General features: G+C 52.4%; 1 protein-coding gene across 3 annotated transcripts, besides 7 other annotated features; it reads left to right on the top strand.

The window, feature by feature from the left end:
• On the top strand, positions 10,899–21,484 carry DDX39A (DExD-box helicase 39A). 3 transcript variants are annotated; one of them, NM_005804.4, is made up of 11 exons: positions 10,941–11,012; positions 17,058–17,269; positions 17,604–17,731; positions 18,684–18,776; positions 19,110–19,293; positions 19,948–20,066; positions 20,409–20,540; positions 20,637–20,746; positions 20,835–20,979; positions 21,098–21,245; positions 21,330–21,484. In NM_005804.4, the coding sequence occupies exons 2-11, from the start codon at positions 17,062–17,064 to the stop codon at positions 21,344–21,346; spliced, it is 1,284 nt and encodes a 427-aa protein (NP_005795.2). In that variant the 5' UTR covers positions 10,941–11,012; positions 17,058–17,061; the 3' UTR covers positions 21,347–21,484. The 3 variants fall into 3 exon arrangements, 2 of the variants coding, with proteins under 2 accessions (NP_005795.2, XP_011525922.1); XM_011527620.2 differs by lacking the exon at positions 10,941–11,012 and adding an exon at positions 11,230–11,353; NR_046366.2 differs by lacking the exon at positions 20,637–20,746 and having other exon boundaries at positions 10,899–11,012.
• Positions 11,112–11,211: a silencer, noted in NCBI's record as "silent region_10248". NCBI's record gives its function as "represses an Ori minimal core promoter by ATAC-STARR-seq in GM12878 lymphoblastoid cells {active_cell/tissue: GM12878}" and the evidence as "EXISTENCE:reporter gene assay evidence [ECO:0000049][PMID:35858748]".
• Positions 11,332–11,471: an enhancer, noted in NCBI's record as "active region_14168". NCBI's record gives its function as "activates an Ori minimal core promoter by ATAC-STARR-seq in GM12878 lymphoblastoid cells {active_cell/tissue: GM12878}" and the evidence as "EXISTENCE:reporter gene assay evidence [ECO:0000049][PMID:35858748]".
• Positions 11,882–11,941: an enhancer, noted in NCBI's record as "active region_14167". NCBI's record gives its function as "activates an Ori minimal core promoter by ATAC-STARR-seq in GM12878 lymphoblastoid cells {active_cell/tissue: GM12878}" and the evidence as "EXISTENCE:reporter gene assay evidence [ECO:0000049][PMID:35858748]".
• Positions 12,312–12,361: an enhancer, noted in NCBI's record as "active region_14166". NCBI's record gives its function as "activates an Ori minimal core promoter by ATAC-STARR-seq in GM12878 lymphoblastoid cells {active_cell/tissue: GM12878}" and the evidence as "EXISTENCE:reporter gene assay evidence [ECO:0000049][PMID:35858748]".
• Positions 13,359–13,448: a silencer, noted in NCBI's record as "silent region_10247". NCBI's record gives its function as "represses an Ori minimal core promoter by ATAC-STARR-seq in GM12878 lymphoblastoid cells {active_cell/tissue: GM12878}" and the evidence as "EXISTENCE:reporter gene assay evidence [ECO:0000049][PMID:35858748]".
• Positions 13,469–13,548: a silencer, noted in NCBI's record as "silent region_10246". NCBI's record gives its function as "represses an Ori minimal core promoter by ATAC-STARR-seq in GM12878 lymphoblastoid cells {active_cell/tissue: GM12878}" and the evidence as "EXISTENCE:reporter gene assay evidence [ECO:0000049][PMID:35858748]".
• Positions 20,986–21,035: an enhancer, noted in NCBI's record as "active region_14165". NCBI's record gives its function as "activates an Ori minimal core promoter by ATAC-STARR-seq in GM12878 lymphoblastoid cells {active_cell/tissue: GM12878}" and the evidence as "EXISTENCE:reporter gene assay evidence [ECO:0000049][PMID:35858748]".

Here is a 21,504-nt window from a genome sequence, read left to right as displayed (position 1 = left end):
TCACGAGGTCAGGAGATCGAGACCATCCTGTCTAACACGATGAAACCCCATCTCTACTAAAAATACAAAAAATTAGCCGGGCGTGGTGGCGGGCGCCTGTAGTCCCAGCTACTCGGGAGGCTGAGGCAGGAGAATGGCGTAAACCTGGGAGGCAGAGGTTGCAGTGAGCTGAGATCACGCCACTGCACTCCAGCCTGGGGGACAGAGCGAGACTCCAGCCTGGGGGACAGAGCGAGACTCCCTCTCAAAAAAAAAAAAAAAAAAAAAACAAAAAAAAACTCTGCAAGCTAGTTCTTTCATATTTATTTATTTATTTGTTTGTTTGTTTGTTTAGACAGAATTTCGCTCTCGTTGCCCAGGCTGAAGTGTGATGGCACGATCTCAACTGAACGCAACCTCTGCCTCCCTGATTCAAGCAATTCCCAGCCTTAGCCTCCTGAGTAGCTGGAATTACAGGCATGTACCACCACACCCGGCTAATTTTGTATTTTTAGCAGACATGGGGTTTCTCTACATTGGGCAGGCTGGTCTCGAACTCCTGACCTCAGGTGATCTGCCCACCTTGGCCTCCCAGAGTGCTGGGATTACAGGTGTGAGCCACCGCGCCCAGCCTGATATTTATTTATTTAGAGACAGGGTCTCACTCTGTCACTCAGGCTGGGGTGCAGTGGCGCCATCGCAGCTCACTGCAGCTTCCACCTTGCAGGTTTAAACGATCCTCCTGCCTCAGCCTCCCAGGTAGCTGGGACCACAGGTGTGCACCACCATGTCTGGCTAGTTTTTTCAAAAAATTTTTTTGTGTGTGTGTAGATACTGGATCTCGTAATATTGCCCAATCTGGTCTTGAACTCCTGGGCTCAAGCAATTCTTCTGCATTGGCCTCCTGAAATGCTGGGATTACAGGCATGAGCCATCAAGCTTGGCCCAAACTAGTTCTTTTGCTCCAGTTTTGCAGGTGAGTAAGCTGAGAAGTCCCTTACCCCAATCATCAAGCCAGGATGTCTATGGCCCTTTCCCTGAGAAACGAAGTAGCTCCCTCTAATTCTCCAGCCCACCCATTCTACAGATGAGGAGGACAAGGCAGAGTGAGGTTTCATGGGGGCCGAAGGATTGGGTTGTCTGGAACCACCTTGCACAGGGATGGGCCCTCCCTCCCCAACCTGTGAGGTCCCAGGCTGCCTCCCCAGATGGAGCTGGGGAAACCAGCCAAATTCTCGCTCCACCCTTCAGGCATTCATTTACTCAGTGAATATTTACAGAGACCCACTGGGGAATTTGGTGGCACTGGAGATAAAGTTGCAGTTCAGGCCTTTTTTTTTTTTTTGGAGACAAAGTCTCATTCTGTCACCCAGGCTAGAGTGCAGTGGGTGAGATCACAGCTCACTGCAGCGCAGCCTCAACCTCCCAGGTTCAAGTCATCCTCCCACCTCAGCCCCTTGAGTAGCTGGGACTGCAGGCATGCACTACCATGCCCAGCTAATTCTTTTTTTTTTTTTTTTTTTTTTTTTTTTGCAGAGATGAAGTCTCACTGTGTTGCCCAGGATGGTCTTGAACTCCTGGCCTCAAGTGATCCTCCCGCCTCGGCCTCCCAAACTGCTGGGATTACAGTTATGAGCCACCACGTCCAGCCACACTTTGTTTGCTAAAAGGGGAGACGTGGCCAGGTGTGGTGGCTCAAGCCTGTAATCCCAGCACTTTGGGAGGCCGAGGTGGGTGGATCACCTGAGATCAGGAGTTTGAGACCAGCCTGGCCAACATGGTGAAACCCCATCTGTACTAAAAATACAAAAAAAATTAGCTGGGTGTGGTGGTGAGTGCCTGTAGTCCCAGCTACTCAGGAGGCTAAGGCAGGAGAATCGCTTGAATCCGGGAGGTGGAGGTTGCAGCAAGCCAAGATTGCACCATTGCACTCCAGCCTGGGCAACAAGAGCAAGACTCCGTCTCAAAAAACAAACAAACAAACCAAGAAAGGGGGCGGGGAGACATAGCCAGGCATGGTGGCGCATGCCTGTAGTCCCAGCTACTCAGGAGGCTGAGGCACCAGAATTGCTTGAACCTGGGAGGCAGAGGTTGCAATGAGCCGAGATCGCACCACCGTACTCCAGACTGGGCAACAAAGCAAGACTCCGTCTCAAAAACAATAAAAATAAAAAAGGAGCGGGGTGGTGGTTGCTGGACACAGTGGCTCATGCCTGTAATCCCAGCACTTTGGGAAGCCGAGACAGGTGGATCACCTGAGGTCAGGAGTTTGAGACCATCCTGGCCAACATGGCAAAACTCCGCCTCTACGAAAAATACAAAAATTAGCCGGGTGTGGTGGTACACGCCTGTAATCCCAACTACTAGGGAAGCTGAGGTAGGAGATCGCTTGAACCCAGGAGGCAGAGGTTGCAGTGAGCCAAGATCATGCTACTGCACTCCAGCCTGGGAGACAGAGCAAGACAAAAAAAAAAAAAAAAAAAAAAAAAGTGTCAGGGGGAGAGACAAAGGACTAATTGTACAATCTCAACAAAATATGATAACTGCACCGGCACATCCTTGCAGCTGTTCTCACCCCTCTCTAATTCACTCTGGGGCCTTGGAAATCCTAAATCACACCATCACCATCCCTGCTTCTCCCTGCTAGAAAACGTGCCTGTGCCTGGTTTCCCAGCAGACTTAGGAAAAACTTCATACTCCTCACTTGGTCTACAAGGTGGTCTTGTCAGACTTCTCTGCCCACCTGTCCAAACACCTCACTCTCCTCACCCCCATCCAGCAACATTAGCCTTCACTATGTTCTTCAAATAGTCTCACCTTGGCCAGGCACAGTGGATCATGCCTGGAATCCCAGGACTTTGTGAGGCTGTGTCAGGTTGATCACCTTAGGTCAGGAGTTCGAGACCAGCTTGTCCAACATGGTGAAACCCCATCTCTACTGAAAATACAAAAAAAAATTAGCCAGCTGTGGTGGCAGATGCCTATAATCCCAGCTACTTGGGAGGTGGAGGCTTGAGAATCGCTTGAACCCAGGAGGTGGAGGTTGCAGTGAGCCAAGATTGTGCCACTGGGCTGTGCGTGCCTGTAATCCCAGCACTCTGGGAGGCAGAGGCAGGTGGATCACCTGAGGTGAGGAGTTGAAGACCAGCCTGACCAACATGGTGAAACCTGTCTTTATTAAATACAAAAAATTAGCTGGATGTGGTGGTGGGTGCCTGTAATCCCAGCTACTTGGGAGGCCAAGGCAGAAGAATTGCTTGAACCTGGGAGACGGAGGTTGCAGTGAGTCGAGATTGCACCAGTGCACTCCAGCCTGGGCAACAAGAGTGAAACTCCATCTAAAAAAATAAAAAAAATTAGCTGGGCGTGGTGGCCGGCACCTGGAATCCCAGCTACTCAGCAGGCTGAGGCAGGAGACTCGCTTGAACCAGGGAGGCGGAGGTTGTAGTGAGCTGAGATCATGCCATAGCACTCCAGCCTGGGTAATAGAACAAGACTCTCTCAGAAAAAAAAAAAAAAAAAAAAAAAGGCCAGCGATTGGCTCATGCCTGTAATCCCAACACTTTGGGAGGCTGAGGTGGGCGGGTCATGAGGTCAGGAGTTCGAGACCAGCCTGACCCACATAGTGAGACTCCATCTCTATGGAAAATACAAACATTAGTTGGGCGTGGTGGTGCTTGCCTGTAATCCCAGCTACTTGGGAGGCTGAGGCAGGAGAATAACTCAAACCTGGGAGGCAGAGATTGCAGTGAGCCAAGATCATGCCATTGCACTCCAGCCTGGGCAATAGAGTGAGACTCCACCTCAAAAAAAAAAAAAAAAAAAAAAAAAAGGCCAGGCGCGGTGGCTGACGCCTGTAATCCCAGTACTTTGAGAGGCCAAGGCAGGTGGATCACGAGGTCAGGAGTTCAAGACCAGCCTGGCCAAGATGGTGAAACCCCATCTCTACTAAAAATACAAAAATTATCTGGGTGTTGTGGTGGGCACCTGTAATCCCAGCTACTTGGGTGGCTGAGGCAGAGAACTGTTTGAACCCAGGAGGCAGAGGTTGCAGTGAGCCGAGACAGTGCCATGCACTCTGGCCTGGGTGATAGAGCAAGACTCCGTTTCAAATAAAAAACAAAAATCATGCTACTGCATTCCAGCCTGGGCAACAGAGTGAGACCAAAGAAACAAAAAAACAAACCACCTCCCACCGTCAAAAAAAAAACAAACAAAAACAAATAGTCTCACCTTACTTCCAACCACATGGCCCTTGCACTGGCTGTTATCTGTTCTGGAATGCTTTTCTATCACATCTTTCCAGGGCTGGCCCCTTTTGCTCATTTAGTTATCTGTTTAAATGTAACATCTTCTGAGCAATCTTCCTAGACCACACCGACGTCATTTCTGGCCCTTGGCCCTGTTTGATTATTTTGCATGTTACTCCTCCCTGAAATTGCACAGAGCCTGTGCTACGTCCGTCTTTGTGAAAGGAATGAGTGGGCACAGTATGAGGTATCAGGCGAAAGGTATCCCAGACTGCAAAGGCTGGAGGGGGTAGCTGTCGCACTTCAGAGGAAGCAGTCAGTGTAGGCTTCCCTGAAGGGCAGGTACTGGAGTAAACTTGGGAAAGACAAGCTAGAAAACTGCAAGGTAGGCTGGGCACGGTGGCTCACGCCTGTAATCCCAGCACTTTGGAAGGCCGAGGTGGGTGGATCACGAGGCCAGGAGATTGAGACCGTCCTGGCTAACACAGTGAAACCCCGTCTCTACTAAAAATACAAAAAAAGGCCAGGCGCGGTGGCTTATGCCTGTAATCCAAGCACTTTGGAAGGCCGAGACGGGAGGATCACAATGTCAGGAGTTGGAGAGCAGCCTGGCCAATATGGTGAAACCCTGTCTCTACCAAAAATATAAAAATTAGTCAGGCGTGGTGGTGGGCGCCTGTAGTCCCAGCTACTCGGGAGGCTGAGGCAGGAGAATCGCTTGAACCTGGGAGGCAGAGGTTGCAGTGAGCCGAAATCATGCCACTGCACTCCAGTCTGGGCGACAGAGCAAGACTCTCTCAAAAAAAAAAAAAAAAGGACTAAGCGTAGTGCCTCAGGCCTGTAGTCCCAGTACTTTGGGAGGCAGAGGTGGGAGGATTGCAGAGGACAGGAGTTCTAGACCAGCCTGGGCAGCATAGGGAGAGCATCATCTTTAGTTATTATTATTATTATTATTGAGACAAAATCTTGCTCTGTCACCCAGTTTGAAGTGTAATGGCACGATCTCGGCTCACTGCAACCTCTGCCTCCCAGGTTTAAGCAATTCTCCTGTCTCAGCCTCCTGAGTAGCTGGGATTACAGGCGTGTGCCACCGCGCCTGGCTAATTTTTTGTGTTTTTAGTAGAGATGGGGTTTCACCATGTTGGCCAGGCTGGTCTTGAGCTCCTGACCTCAAGTGATCCACCCACCTCAGCTTCCCAAAGTGCTGGGATTACAGGCAGGAGCCACTGGGCCCAGCTTCTAGTTATTTTTTAATGATACTAAAGAGAAAGAAAGGAACAAAATGATGCAGTCTGATACCATTTGTATCAAACACACACACACACACACACACACATATATATATAAAGTGAAAAAATGTATAAAGTAAAGGAGGCTGGGCGGGGTGGCTCATGCCTATAATCCTAGCACTTTGGGGAGGCAGAGGCGGGAAGATTGCTTGAGCTCAGGAGTTCCAGAGCAGCCTGGACAACATGGCAAAACCTCATTTCTTCTAAGAAATACAAAAATTAGTGGGCCAAGGAGGTGGAGGTTACAGTGAGCTGAGATCTCACCTGGCACTATGGCCCGAGTGAAAGCCAGACTGTTTATTTTTTTCTTTTTATTTATATCATGTAATTTTATTTTTTGAAACGGAGTCTCGCTCTGTCGCCCAGGCTGGAGTGCAGTGGTGTGATCTCAGCTCACTGCAGCCTCCACCTCCCAGGTTCACAAGATTATTCTGCCTCAGACAACTGAGTAGCTGGGATTACAGGTGCCTGCCACCATGCCCAGATAATTTTTGTAGTTTTAGTAGAGACGAGTTTTCTCCATTTTAGCCAGGCTGGTCTTGAACTCTTGACCTCAGGTGATTCACCCGCCTCGGTTCCCAAAGTGCTGGGATTACAGGCGTGAGCCACTGTGCCTGGCCCAGACCCTGTTTGAAAAAAAATAAAAATTAGTCGGGCATGGTGGCAGGTGCCTGTAATCCCAGCTACTCGGAAGGCTGAGGCAGAAGAATCGCTTAAACCCGAGAGGTGGTGGTTGCAGTTAGCCGAGATCGTGCCACTGCACTCCAGCCTGGGGAACAAGAGTGAAACTCCGTCTCAAAAAAAAAAAAAAAAAAAAAAAAAGTAAATGGGAAAAATAAAAAGGGAAATGAAAGGAAATTTATATGAAGTAGCTTTTTAGCTTTTTTTTTTTCCTTTGGTAGAGAAGAGGTCTCACCACATTGCCCAAGCTAGTCTTGAACTTCCTGCCTCAGCCTTCCAAAGTTCTGGGATTACATGTGTGAGCCACTACACCCAGTACCTTTTCTATGTTTTGATATGTATAGATATCCAAATACCTACCATTGTAACATCACAAAGAAGATGAAGGTAAAAACAACAAAACAAATACTTAGCATTGTGTTGCAATTGCCTACAGTATTCAGACAGTTACACACTGTCCGGGTTGGTAGCCTAGGAGCAGTAGGCTTTATATAGCAGGGGTCCCCACCCCCACCCCTCCCTGGCCTTGTGGCCTGTCAGGGACCAGGCCACACAGCAGGAGGTGAGTGATGGGTGAGCATTACCTACAGCCTGAGCTCTGCCTCCTCTCAGATCAGCAACAGCATTAGATTCTCATAGCAGCTCAACCCTATTGTGAACTGTGCATGTGAGGGATCGAGGTTGCCCATTCCTTATGAGAATCTAACTAATGCCTGATGATCTGAGGTGGAACAATTTCATCCCAGAACCATCCACCCTCCTTACGTCCATGGAAAAATTGTCTTCCATCATTCAGGTCCCTGGTGCCAAAAAGGTTGGGGACTGCTGGGCTATACCACATAGCCTACACGTGTAGTAGCCATACCATCTAGGTTTTTTTTTTGAGATGGAGTCTCACTCTGTTGCCCAGGCTGGAGTGCAATGGCAGGATCTCGGCTCATTGCAACCTCCGCCTCCTGGGTTCAAGTGATTCTCCTGCCTCAGCCTCCTGAGTAGCTGGTATTACAGGTGCGCACCACCATGCCCGGCTAATTTTTGTATTTTTAGTACAGACAGTGTTTCACCATGTTGGCCAGGCTGCTCTCGAACTCCTGACCTCGTGATCCACCCGCCTTGGCCTCCCAAAGTGCTGGGAATGAACCACCATGCCCAGACCCATCTAGGTTTATCTAAGTTCCCTTGTCTAGGTCAGTTTGCATTGCTATAGAGGAATACCTGAGTCTGGGTAATTTATAAAGAGGTTTATTTGGCTCACAGTTCTGCAGACTGTACCAGAAGCATGACACTAGCATTTGTTTCTGGGAGGGCCTCGGAAAGTTTCCAATCATAGTTGAAGGGGAAGGGGAGCAGGCATTCCATGGTGAGACAGGAAGGAAGCCAGACCGAGAGAGGATAGCAGTGCCGTGCTCTTTTAAACGATCAGCAATCTCATGAATAGAAGGAGAACTCACTTTACCATGGAAATGTCACTAAGCCATTCATGAGGGATCTACCCTTGTGACCAAAAAGACCTCCCACTAGGTCCCACATCCAACACTGCGGATCACCTGTCTGCCTGCCTGGCTTCCTTCCTTCGTTTCCCCTTCCTTCCTTCCTTCCTCTTTCTTCTTTATTTTTGTTTTATTCTTTTTCTTTTTTCTCTTTTTTTTTTGAGACGGAGTCTCACTCTTTCACCCAGGCCAGACTGCAGTGGCGCTATCTCAGCTCACTGCCAGCTCCACCTCCCAGGTTCACGCCATTCTCCTGCCTCAGCCTCTCAAGTAGCTGAGACTACAGGTGTCCGCCACCACGCCCAGCTAATTTTTTGTATTTTTAGTAGAGACGGGGTTTCACCGTGTTAGCCAGGATGGTCTCGATCTCCTGACCTCGTGATCTGCCCACCTCAGCTCCCAAAGTGCTGGGATTACAGACGTGAGCCACCGCACCTGGCCTCTTTCCTCTTTTTTTTTTTTTTTTTTTTTTTTGAGACAGTCTCACTCTGTCTCCCAGGCTGGAGTGCAGTGGCACAAACATGGCTCACTGCAGCCCCAACCTCCTGGGCTCAAGAAGGATCACATTTCAACATGAGATTTGGAGGGGACAAACATCCAAACTGTATCAAACTCCATGATGTTCATACAATGACAAGATTGCCTATGGAGACATTCCTCAACATGTCCGTGTCATTATGTGACCCCATGACTGTAATTCTTGTAAAGGTGGGTGCAGTAACTGTTCAGTACGACTGTTTTTCTTTAGGGCATTGTTTCTGTACTGGGAGGAAAGGAGTTGGAGTGAAGCACAGGTGACTTCAACTTTTTTTTTTTTTTTTTTTTGAGACAGAGTTTCGCTCTTGTTGCCCAGGCTGGAGTACAATAGTGCGATCTTGGCTCAACGCAACCTCCGCCTCCCAGGTTCAAGCGATTCTCCTGCCTCAGCCTCCCGAATAGCTGGGATTACAGGCATATGCCACCACGGCTGGCTAATTTTGTGTTTTTAGTAGAGACGAGGGTTCTCCATGTTGGTCAGGCTGGTCTCGAACTCCCAACCTCAGGTGATCTGCCCGCCTCAGCCTCCCAAAGTGCTGGCATTACAGGTGTGAGCCACCACACCCGGCCGTGACTTTGACTTTAATTACAATGTGTTATTCATTTATTTTAGAGACTGGGTCTCACTCTTTCACCCAGGCTGGAGTGCAGTGGTGCAATCATAGCTCACTGAAGCCTCAAACTCCTGGGCTCGAACAGTCCTCCTGCCTCAGCCTCCCGAGTAGCTGGGAGTACAGGTATCAACCACCATGCTTGGCTAATTTTTATTTTATTTTATTTTATTTTTTGTAGAGATGAGGTCTCACTATGTTGCCTAGGCTGGTCTTGAACTCCTGGCCTTAGGTGATCACTCTTGTTGCCCAGTCTGGAGTGCAATGGTGCGAACTCGGCTCACTGCAACCTCCACCTCCCAGGTTCAAGCGATTCTCCTGCCTCACCCTCCCGAGTAGCTGGGATTACAGGCATGCGCCACCACGCCCGGCTAATTTTGCATTTTTAGTACAGACGGGGTTTCTCCATGTTGTCAGGCTGGTCTCAAACTCCTGACCTCAAGTGAACCGCCCTCCTTGGTCTCCCAAAGTGCTGGGATTATAGGCAGGAGCCCTGGTGCCCGCTGATCCTTTCTTTACTTGGCATTTTCTTTTTCTTTTCTTTTCTTTTTTTTTTTTTGAGACGGAGTCTCGCTCTGTTGCCGAGGCTGGAGTGCAGTGGCGCGATCTCGGCTCACTGCAAGCTCCGCCTCCCGGGTTCACGCCATTCTCCTGCCTCAGCTTCCCGAGTAGCTGGGATTACAGGCGCCCGCCAACACGCCCGGCTAATTTTTCTATTTTTAGTAGAGACGGAGTTTCACCATGTTGGCCAGGATGGTCTCAAACTCCTGACCTCAGGTAATCCACCCACCTCGGCCTCCCAAAGTGCTGGGATTACAGGTGTCAGCCACCACGCTCGGCCTGCAAAACCCCACCTTTACCAAATTTTTAAAAATTAGCTGGGCATGATAGGTAACAAGAGTGACACCCTGAAGAAAGAAAGAAGAAAGTGGAGGGAAAGAGGGAGGAAGGATGATAGGAAAATAAATCTGCCAGGATCTAATAAAGCTTAGTGACCATGCCACCATGCCACTCCTAAGTATTTAAAAGAAATGAAAATTTATCTTCCCCAAAATACTCTTACAGTACAAGCTCTATTAACAGTGGCCAAAGACCGGAAACAATCAATTGGCCAAGAACAGGTGAGTGAAACTATATTGGCTACATTATAGTATAGCCACACAATGAAATACCACTCAGCAGTAAAAAATAACGAGCTGTTGATATCCCCACAACATGGACAACTCTCAAAAACACTTTGCTGCGGCCAGGCAGGGTGGCTCATGTAATCCCAGCACTTTGGGAGGCGGAGATGGGCAGATCACATGAGGCCAGGAGTTCGAGACCAGCCTGGCCAACATGGCGAAACCCCTCTCTACTAAAAATATGAAAATTAGCCAGGTGTGGTGGCGGGCGCCAGCAGTCCCAGCTACTCAGGAGGCTGAGGCAGGAGAATCGCTTGAACCCGAGAGGCGGAGGTTGTGGTGAGCAGAGATCGCGCCACTGCACTCCAGCCTAGGTGACAGAGCCAGACTCCGTCTCAAAAAAACAGCTTTGTTGAGCAAAAGTCAGACACAAAAGACAACCTATTGCATGCTTCTACTAACGTGAAAATCAAGGAGACAAAACTATCGTGGAGCGATAGAAATCCAAATACTGCAAAATGTTCTGTCCATTTGAGTCATTCCAAGCTCCCTATTCTTTTCAGAGCCTACACTGTGGAGGACCCCCAGGCCGCAGATTGATAGCAACTGGGACAGTTCTGGTTTCAGCGCCCAGCGCAGACGCCACTCTTCGAAAAGGTGGGGCACACGCCAAAACGCAATCATCCGGTCTTCAGTTATCAGTACTAAACATGGCGGCTCCCACCGAGCACCACACCCAGATCACGAGACCGCGCGCTGTCGGAGCCAGTCTGTCGGCTCACTGGGGCGCGCCTACTTTTAGATTGACCAATAAACGCGAGGCGTAAGGCACGCCCTCTTTCTTCCCGTCTCCGCCAATAATCTCCCGGTCCCTTCCACAGGACCCAATCACCGCTTCGGCCTCTCTTGAATGAAAAGGCAGCGGCCCAGTCAGCAGAGCAGCAGCCCGACGCAAGAGGCAGGAAGCGCAGCAACTCGTGTCTGAGCGCCCGGCGGAAAACCGAAGTTGGAAGTGTCTCTTAGCAGCGCGCGGAGAAGAACGGGGAGCCAGGTGAGCAGCGGATCCCGGGCGCGGGGCCGCGGTGTGGGGACGTCTGAACTGAGAGCGAGAGGACGAGGGGAGACGTTGGGATCTAAGGGGAGGGGGAGAAAGGGTCGCGAGACGGTGGGGGCGGGGCGGTTGGTGTGTCAGAGCGCTGTGTGTTGGCCGTTGGGCACCGGGGCGCATGCGCTAGGGGTGGGCCAGCCGTTGGCGCGCGGTGCTCGGGGCTCGGGGCCCGCTTCTCGGAGGGGCTGTCATGGCCTACGGCGCTCCGAGCCCCACTTGGAGTCTGTCAGTTCGTCCGAATAGACCCCGCGGCGGCCTGGGGCCATTTGGAGAGGGACGAGGGGGTGACGCCGGGGTCTGGGGCCTGGGTGGGAGAAGTTGGAGCTTTCAGTTGTCAGGGGTTTCTTTGGGTCCGAGGGACTTGATCCCTTTCCCAGTCTACCTTCTTCTTGGTCTACTTTTTACGGGATTCGGGATTCTGAGATTTAGAGCAAATAAGACTTTATTTTGGAAGGCCGGGCGCGGTGGCTCTTGTAATCTCAGTACTTTGGGAGAGACCAAGGAGGGCGGATCACTTGAGGTCAGGAGTTCGAGACCAGCCTGGCCAACATGGTGAAACCTCGTCTCTACTCAAAATACAAAAAAAAATCAGCCGAGCGTGGTGGCGAGCGCCTGTGGTCCCAGCTACTCGGGAGGCTGAGGCACGAGAATCGCTTGAACCCGGGAGGTGGAGGTTACAGTGAGCCGAGATCGCGACACTGCACTCCAGCCTGGGTGACAGAGCGAGATTCTGCCTCAAAAAAAACAGAATGAAAAAAAGATTTTCTTTTGGAAATAGGAGTCCCCAGGTGGGAATAAACTCCGGGGTGGAAAGCCTGCCTGGGGACACTTGAGGGTAACTGGGTACACGTGGCGTGTCTGGGTTGTGAGTTCCCCGCTGTCACCTTTCAAGTTCATGCGCTCCTGGCGCCTTAGCGGTCATGGCCACCCACTTTGGGCGGGGAAAACCCCGCCGGATCCTTTCCTGATCTAATCAGTTTTGAGCTTTAGATCCTGTCCAGCCCGGTTTCTCGAAAATTTTATCTTAGCAGATTCGGTTCACCCCAATTTATTTATCTCTCTCTCTCTTTTTTTTTTTTTTTTTTTTTTTTTGAGACAGAGCCTTGCTCTGTCGCCCAGGCTGGAGTGCAGTGACACTATCTCGGCTCACTGCAGCCTCCGTCTTCCGGGTTCAAGCAAGCACATCCGGCTAATTTTTGTATTTGTAGTAGAGACGGGGTTTCACCATGTTGCCCAGGCTTGTCTCTAATTCCCGACTTCAAGTGATCCGCCCGCTTCGCCTCCCAAAGTGCTGGGATTACAGGCATGAGCCACCACGCTGGGCCCCAATTTCTTTTTTTAAATTTATTTTTCTTGAGAAAGGGTCTCCCTCTGTCACCCAGGCTGGAATGCCATGGCGCCATCACTGGCAGCCTCGACCTCCTGGCTCAAGCGATCCTCCCGGCACAGCCTCCCAAGTAGCTGGGACTACAGGCCCATGCCACCACACCGGGCTAATTTTTTTCTTTTTTTAATTTCTACTTATTTATTTTTTAGCCTTTGCTACATAGAAGGTGCCCCTTGGGCTATGTGTTTTTTAAGTTTTTTTAAGTTTTAGGGTACATGTGCACAACGTGCAGGTTTGTTACATATGTATACATGTGCCATGTTGGTGTGCTGGACCCGTTAACTCGTCATTTGCATTAGGTATATCTCCTAATGCTGTCCCTCCCCCCTCCCCCCACCCACCCGGCTACTTTTTTAAAAATTGTTTTTGTATAGACGCGGTCTCGACTTATTGTCCAGGTTGGTCTCGAACTCCTGGGCTCAAGCCATCCTCCCACGCTGGCTTCTCAAAGTGCTGGGATTACAGAAGTGAGGCACCATGCCGGGCCTGCCCCAAATTTATTTCCCCACCAACAAAACAACTTTGCTTTATTTCCTTAAAATACACCATCTCTTGGCCACCTAGATTTGGAGCCCAGAATAGACTGTGGCTTTTCTCTACCCATGGATTGGTCAGGGGATGTTCCTGTCTTTTGGCATGTCCCACCCTTTCTTTCCTTACCTCACGCCCCTACCCTGGTTACTTCTCTTTTATTTGGTGACTGGTTTTCCCTGCTACTGGTCTTAACCTACCCCTTCATCGGAGGAGTAAGTTACAGTACTCTTGGGCAGATCCTGATTGAGTGGCTCAGCTCCAATCTAATTAGCAGTTCCCTATTGCTTAACAAGTACACAGGCCCAGGCTGGGCGTGGTGGGTGGCTCATTCCTGTAATCCCAGCACTTTGGGAGGCAGAGGCAGGAGGTTTGCTTGAGTCCAGGAGTTCACGACCAGCCTGGGAAACGTGGTGAAACACTGTCTCTACTAAAACAAAAATTAGCCAGGCGTGGTGGCATGCACCTGTAGTCCCAGCTACACAGGAAGCTGAGGTGGTGGACTCACTGGGCCTGGGAGGTCGAGGCTCCAGTGAGCTATGATTGCACCACTGCACTCCAGCCTGGGTGACAGAGCGAGACCCTGTCTCAAAAAACAAAAAAACAAACAAACAAACACATGCCCTGTGTGGCTGACCAGCTCTTCCAGCTTTGTCTTCTGCCCTGACGCCAGCCAGCTAGTCCTACTCTGCATACCCCAAAAGGCTCTGGTGCTTTTCGGACTGACCTTTCTTGGCTCCTGTTTTCCCTGCTGCCTGGGAAGTGACCCCTTCAGATTGCCTGTTTGAAGGGTCAGATAAAGAGACATGTTCAACTCTGCCTGAACGCCTTTATTCTAGTTCCATTTATTCAGCCATTGCTATGGAGTGCTTATTAGCTGTTCTCACAGGGCAGGGCTGACTGGAAGCGGTGCTGTTTTAGTTGGGGCTGTGAGGAAATGCCTTTCTGGAGCAAAGGAGGCCCAAAAGAAGTGGGGGATTTGTGACCCTTCCAGGCAGCAGGAACAGCAAGTGCAAAGGTGCTGAGGTGTGTTTGAGACACGGCAGCAAGGCTGGCGAGTGAGGGGCAATGGGGGAGATGAGGTATGAGTATAGAGGAGTCGGGTTAGGAGGGGCCCGGTAGGCTGGCTTTGTGAGGACTCGAGTTTTTTTCTAAGCACAGTAGGAACCCATTAAAAGTTTTGAGCAGAATAGTGATGTACTCTTAGGTTTGTTTTTTTTTTTGAGACAGAGTCTTGGTCTTGCTCTGTCGCCCAGGCTGGAGGGCCATGGTGTGATCTCGGCTCTCTGCAACCTCTGCCTCCTAGGTTCAAGTGATTCTCCTGCCTCCAAGTAGCTGGGATTACAGGTACCCGCCACCACACCCGGCACATTTTTGGTATTTTTAGTAGAGATGGGGTTTCACCATGTTGGTCAGGCTGGTCCTGGACTCCTGACCTCAGGTGGTCCGCCCGCCTAGGCCTCCCAAAGTGCTGGGATTACAGGTGTGAGCCACCGCGCCTGGCCGTGACTTAGTTTGATAGGGTCTTTCTGGCTGCTCTGGGGAGGGGCTGGGGGATGGCAACAGGGAAACCAGGGAGGAGGATATTGGCTTAATTCAGGCAAGAGATGATGGCACCTACATGTCCAGCTGACAGTGGTTAAGCAAAATGTAGTATGTTGGTGAGATGGAACATTAGGTGACCATGGAAAGAAATGAGGCCAGGTGTGGTGGCTCACACCTGTAATCCCAGCACTTTGGAAGGCTGAGGTGGGCGGATCGCCTGAGCCCACAAGTTGGAGATCAGCTTGGGCAACATGGTGAAACCCCATCTCTGTTACAAATACAAAAATTAGTGGTGGCGGGCGCATGTAGCTCCTGCTACTAGGGAGGCTGAGGTGGGAAGATCGCTTGATTGAGCCCGGGAGGCAGAGGTTGAAGTGAGCTTTGATTGGGCCACTGCACTCCAGCCTGGGCAACAGAGCAAGACCTTGTCTCAAAGAGGGGGGAAAAAAAAGGAAGGGAGTACTGATGATGTGGTAGAGCACACTGTGCTGAGTGAAAGAAGCCAGACACAAAATGTCACAAATTATAAGATTTCATTTATGTGAAATGTCCACAACAACAGGCAAATCCATAGAAACAGAAAGCAGATTAGTGGTTGCCCGGGGCTGGGGTGGGGTGTTTAGGGTATGGATACGTAAAGGGTACAGGAGCTTTTATTTCAAGGTGATGAAGTATTCTAAAATTGCACATGTGGTAGTGGTTGCACATGTCTGTGACTACACTAAAAACCACTGAATTATCTGCCTTAAGTGGTGAGTTGTATAGCATGTAAATATCTCTGTGAAGCTTTTCTTTTTTTTTTTTTTTTTTTTTAGGCTGGAGTGAAGCGTGATTTCAGCCCATCACAACCTCCGCCTCCCAGGTTTAAGCAATTTTTCTGCCTCAGCTTCCCGAGTAGCTGGGATTATAGGCGCCTGCCACCATGCCTGGCTAAATTTTTGTATTTTTAGTAGAGTTGGGGTTTCACCATGTTGGTCAGGCTGGTCTCGAACTCCTGACTTCAGGTGACCCACCCGCCTTGGTCTCTCAAAAGTGCTGGGATTACAGGCGTGAGCCACCGCGCGCAGCCTGTAAAGCTGTTCTAGTTAAAAATAATAATAAGGCCAGGCGCGGTGGCTCACACCTGTAATCCCAGCACTTTAGGAGGCTGAGGTGGGTAGATCATGAGGTCAGGAGTTTGAGACCAGCCTGACCAACATGGTGAAACCCTGTCTCTACGAAAACTACAAAAATTAGCTGGGCATGGTGGCAAGCACCTGTAATCCCAGATACTCAGGAGGCTGAGGCAGGAGAATCTTGAACCCTGGAGGTGGAGGTTGCAGTGAGCCGAGGTTGCGCCACTGCACTGCAGCCTGGGTGACAGCAAGACTTCATCTCAATAATAATAATAATAATAATAATAATAATAATAATAATAATAATAAAACAGGTGATAGCAGCTTGGGGCCAGCATGGTAGCATAGGTGAGAACTGGCCAGAGGGCCTTGGTGGGATTCACTGCCTCATGGACAGGGAGGTTGAGAGAGAGAAAACAGCCATTGAGACAATGGAATTGCTGTTTCTGAGCCGGGAATGAGTGACAGCGAGGCCAAAAGTGGCCTAGGATCCTCAGCATCCAGCCTCAGGAAGAATTGTAGCAGCTGTCACCCTCTGCTCCACCCCCCACTGGAGTCTGGGGTAGGGGAGGAGGACGAAAGACAATTGTCCTCATGTTTGGGTCCCTTGCACCCAGCAGGCACTTGGTATGCATTAGATTAATAAAGCAAAGAGGTAGGCAGACTTTGTATTAATTCCATTTTCCATCTTCTCAGCTTTATTTTTATTGGCCCAGGCCCAATAGGAGGCCTTTCATGAGAGCACTTAATTATTCCCCTGTGCAGACCACAGAGAGTGGGAGAAGCTGGGGCTGGACAGATACTGCTTGCTCTCTCGCAAACTCAGTTCCCACCAGCATCCTGGCAGCCCCACCCCTGGGATCTTTGGGCTCCTGCCCCATGAAAGCCCAGTGGGTTCCTTGGGGAGTGATAGGGAGGGGGCTTCTCTGGGCTGAGTAGTCTGAGGAGGTTCACTGGAGCTGAGGCTTGCGTGTGGAGAAGGAGGCATTTGTGCAGAGACCTGGGGGCAGAGCATTCCTGGCGGTGACAGCCAGGTTCAAAGGCTTGGGGCAGGGGCTCCAGGGGTCTGAGCAGCTGAACAAGGCTGGGGGTGGTGTGGGATGAGGTGAGCAGGGGTCAAACCAAGGGGATTGCCTGGCCTGTGGTGAGAGTTGGGATTTTAACTCTGTGAGCCATGGGAAGCCCTTGGAGGTGGAGGGTGTTCTGTCTGTGGGTGTGGCCAGAGGGGCATGGGGGAGAGATGGGGTAGCTTGGGGGTGGGGAGGTGGAGACAGGGCGAAGCTGCGAGGTGCAGCCCAGGTAGAGCTGATGGGCTCACTCATGGAAGGAGGCGGCAGAGAATGCCATTTGAATGAAGCTTCATCATCCTTCTGTGCCCACTCGCGGGACCCTGCCTCTCTCTCTTCTCAGCATCATGGCAGAACAGGATGTGGAAAACGATCTTTTGGATTACGATGAAGAGGAAGAGCCCCAGGCTCCTCAAGAGAGCACACCAGCTCCCCCTAAGAAAGACATCAAGGGATCCTACGTTTCCATCCACAGCTCTGGCTTCCGGGACTTTCTGCTGAAGCCGGAGCTCCTGCGGGCCATCGTGGACTGTGGCTTTGAGCATCCTTCTGAGGGTACGCCTTCTGGGTGTTATCCTCTTGCCCAGGTCCTCACCAAGACAAGACCAGCCCTGCCCGCCCAGAGCGGTGCCGCCTCCAGTTTGCCGTGGGTGAGGGAGGGGCCCGTCTGTCCCGCGGATCAGTTGTGCCCAGCGGGGCCTGTGGCTGCCCTCGGCAGTGGGGCGTTCTGCTTTGACCAGGCGGATACCCCAGCCCTGCAGGTGTCTGTGGCCTTGTCCGGACTCGGCCTCTTCTGATTGCCCTCACTGTGGGCCCCCGGTCAACTGGTGAGGATCCTGCACGGGGGTGCATCCAGGTTCTCGTCCCTCACGCTCTGCTTCTCCTGCAGTCCAGCATGAGTGCATTCCCCAGGCCATCCTGGGCATGGACGTCCTGTGCCAGGCCAAGTCCGGGATGGGCAAGACAGCGGTCTTCGTGCTGGCCACCCTACAGCAGATTGAGCCTGTCAACGGACAGGTGGGTGGGCTCCTCCCTTCCTGGCCCCACCCTGCCTGTGGCGGCGGAAGTAGAGTAGGCTGGATGGGGTGGCTCACACCTGTTAGCCCAGTGCTTTGGGAAGCTGAGGCTGGAGGATTGCTTGAGCCCAGGAAGTCGAGGCTGCAGTGTGCTATGATCACACCACTGCACTCCAGCCTGGGTGGCAGAGGTAGACTCCATCTCAAAAAATAATTAGTTATAACAAAAATTAGAAATTGCCAATAAGCCAAAATAACTGGAAAGTGCCCACAGTTTGCCCCTTGCCCCAGAGGCATCGTTGCTGTTTTGCCGTGCCACTTACCTAGAGAGTGTCCATCTGTGAAGGTTGGGTTGCCCCGAATATAGCTGTCACCACTGTCCTTGCTGTTAGGCCCTGGCTGTCTTCTCCCATTGTCTTGTGTGCCACTGTCCTGGGGAGACACTTCAGTGAATTCTGGTGTCTTGCTCCCGAGTCAGGCCAGGTGCACATCTTTGGGCTTCATATTGGCGCCCGTGCCCTCGTTATCTCAGAGCACATCCTGAAGGATGAAGGTGCTGTGGAGGGCTGTGGTGTGGTCCAGTGTCTGATGGCACGGGTGGGAAGACCGGGGCCGCCCGAGTGCCGAGATTCAGGAAATCCTTAGAGAGCCAGGTCCCATGTCACCCAGGCAGGCCAGGTCTAACCATTACATTATGCGGGCCATTTTCTGTTCCATTTTCTGTTTCTTATTGTGGGTCCTGGTGTTGGGAGACAGGTTTCAATAGCTGTGGGAGGGTATAGGGAGTGAGGGGTGGGGAAGGGCCGTGAGAAGTGGGAGGCATTTGGACCGGGCCTTCAAATGGCCTGTGATGTTGGGTGCAGTGTCAGGGGGACTGGGTTGGGTGGACTCTGGTGGGGAAGGGGTTTAGGACACTGCCTAAGGTAAGGCCCTCTTCTTATGCCACTTCCCAGGTGACGGTCCTGGTCATGTGCCACACGAGGGAGCTGGCCTTCCAGATCAGCAAGGAATATGAGCGCTTTTCCAAGTACATGCCCAGCGTCAAGGTGAGTCCCTCGGGCCAGACTGGACCAGGCGCCACTTGGTTTCTGCAGCTTTGTTAGCCTCGGCTCTGGCCCAGCCAGCATTTACCAAGCTTGGCAGGGGCAGCTGCCTTTGAGGTTTGCGGTGGTTTTTGCTCCTTAAAAGCCTGATGAATTATGCATGGCTCCCAGGGGCCTGCGCAGGTCCCAGCCTGGGGCTGCCTTTGAGTGGAGCCCCGGGAGGCTCTCAGGCCTGCCTTGGTCCCCTGAGGCCTCCTGTTCGCAGGTGCTGGGCCGTGCAGGTTGGGGCCTTGGGCCGTGTATCAGCATGGAGCGGTTTCCTCCTCATCCCCATAGGTGTCTGTGTTCTTCGGTGGTCTCTCCATCAAGAAGGATGAAGAAGTGTTGAAGAAGAACTGTCCCCATGTCGTGGTGGGGACCCCGGGCCGCATCCTGGCGCTCGTGCGGAATAGGAGCTTCAGCCTAAAGAATGTGAAGCACTTTGTGCTGGACGAGTGTGACAAGATGCTGGAGCAGCTGGGTGAGTCCTCTGCCCTTGCAGCCCCAGCTGAGAGTCAGTGACTAGGCGGGCCCCATAGCAGGCGGAAGGCTCTTGAGTGGGTTACATGGGCGGCCGGCAGGCGGGGCTCCTGTGGTGATCTTGGGGAAAGCTCTGCTGCTGGCAGAGGGATGTGCTGTTTCTGAGCCCGAGCCGAATGGGACCACGGGGCCCAAGCAAGCCCCCGTCCCTCCTGGACGTAAAGGCATGCACACATACCTCTGGGAGTATGAGGCTTCTGCCACCTGTTGGGTTGGTTCCAGGCCCCGCCTGCCCTCAGTGAGCCCCGACAGGGCCGGTGGGAGATGGGCTTGTGTCCTGGGAGGCAGCTGCAGCTCTCACCCCAGCGGCTGTCTCTGCCTCAGGCTCCCCTCCCTGAAGCGTGGCTCGAGGCGCACGGGCACGGCTGCTCCGCGCCAGCGTGTAAGTGGATTGCAGCTCCTCCCGCGCCTGCGCTCGCTGGCCACCCCCCAGCCCCTCAGGCACCAGGACTGGCCACTCCCGCGGCTCACTCTGCCCTCGTCACGGTGCCACTGGCTCCCTGGCACAGGTTGGGAGGGGTCTGGGTCTGGTCTGGGGTGGGGGTCCTGCATGGCAGACGCTCATGCCCACCCATGTCTTGCCCTCCCCACCTAGACATGCGGCGGGATGTGCAGGAGATCTTCCGCCTGACACCACACGAGAAGCAGTGCATGATGTTCAGCGCCACCCTGAGCAAGGACATCCGGCCTGTGTGCAGGAAGTTCATGCAGGATGTGAGTAGGGCGAGAGTGGCAGCTTTGGCCTTCCCCAGGGGCCTGGAGCCTGGGGCCCCAGGACACCCGCACGGCCCACATGGCACGGAGGATGCTGGGATGCTGGGAGCCGGCGGAGCCTCCTTTCCTCCCCTCGGTCTTGTCAAACTGGGAGTCAAGCTTGGTCCACACCTGAGTCGGGCCAGAGCTTACATCCAGCTTTTGAGCGATGTTTACTGAGGTCTGGTGCAGCAGGTCCTCTGGGAAGTGTCGCACAAAGGAGTCGCCCACTGGAAGGTTCTGGGCAGGCGAGATGCCCAGAGGTGATCCCTGCCCGCCCCTCCCACCTCCCTTCCCACACAGCCCATGGAGGTGTTTGTGGACGACGAGACCAAGCTCACGCTGCACGGCCTGCAGCAGTACTACGTCAAACTCAAAGACAGTGAGAAGAACCGCAAGCTCTTTGATCTCTTGGATGTGCTGGAGTTTAACCAGGTGATACTTCCATCAGCCTGTCCTGGGGCTCAGGACCTTCGGGAGGTCACTGGGCCACAGGGACTGTGTGGCCCTGACTGCCACTCCTTCCCTCAGGTGATAATCTTCGTCAAGTCAGTGCAGCGCTGCATGGCCCTGGCCCAGCTCCTCGTGGAGCAGAACTTCCCGGCCATCGCCATCCACCGGGGCATGGCCCAGGAGGAGCGGTGAGTGCGAGCCGCCCGCCAAGGCTGCAGGGAGCACCACCAGGAGCCCAGTGTCTGACGGCCTCCACTTGTTTCTCCTGCACCCCAGCCTGTCACGCTATCAGCAGTTCAAGGATTTCCAGCGGCGGATCCTGGTGGCCACCAATCTGTTTGGCCGGGGGATGGACATCGAGCGAGTCAACATCGTCTTTAACTACGACATGCCTGAGGACTCGGACACCTACCTGCACCGGGTGAGCAGCCTCACGGGCATGTTGCTTTCCCCTGGCGGTGGGGTGGGGCCCCAGCCCTGCTTTTCCTCAAGTCCTGAGGTAGTATCTGTGGCCTGACCCTGATCCTGTCTGCCTGCAGGTGGCCCGGGCGGGTCGCTTTGGCACCAAAGGCCTAGCCATCACTTTTGTGTCTGACGAGAATGATGCCAAAATCCTCAATGACGTCCAGGACCGGTTTGAAGTTAATGTGGCAGAACTTCCAGAGGAAATCGACATCTCCACATACAGTAAGTGCCTTGGGCAGGGCCAGGGGTCTGGGGCAGAGGGTTCCTCCCCCGGCCCTTCAGTTCACTGCATCTCATGTCTTACAGTCGAGCAGAGCCGGTAACCACCACGTGCCAGAGCCGCCCACCCGGAGCCGCCCGCATGCAGCTTCACCTCCCCTTTCCAGGCGCCACTGTTGAGAAGCTAGAGATTGTATGAGAATAAACTTGTTATTATGGAAGCCTGGCTCCCACCCCATCTATTTCTTGGTCATCTTGGCCT

This window comes from Homo sapiens, chromosome 19 (genome assembly GCF_000001405.40).
Source record: "Homo sapiens chromosome 19, GRCh38.p14 Primary Assembly".
NCBI classification, from domain to species: domain Eukaryota; kingdom Metazoa; phylum Chordata; class Mammalia; order Primates; family Hominidae; genus Homo; species Homo sapiens.
Note: the sequence above shows the minus strand (reverse complement) of the source record. Positions and strands in the feature narration are given on the sequence as shown.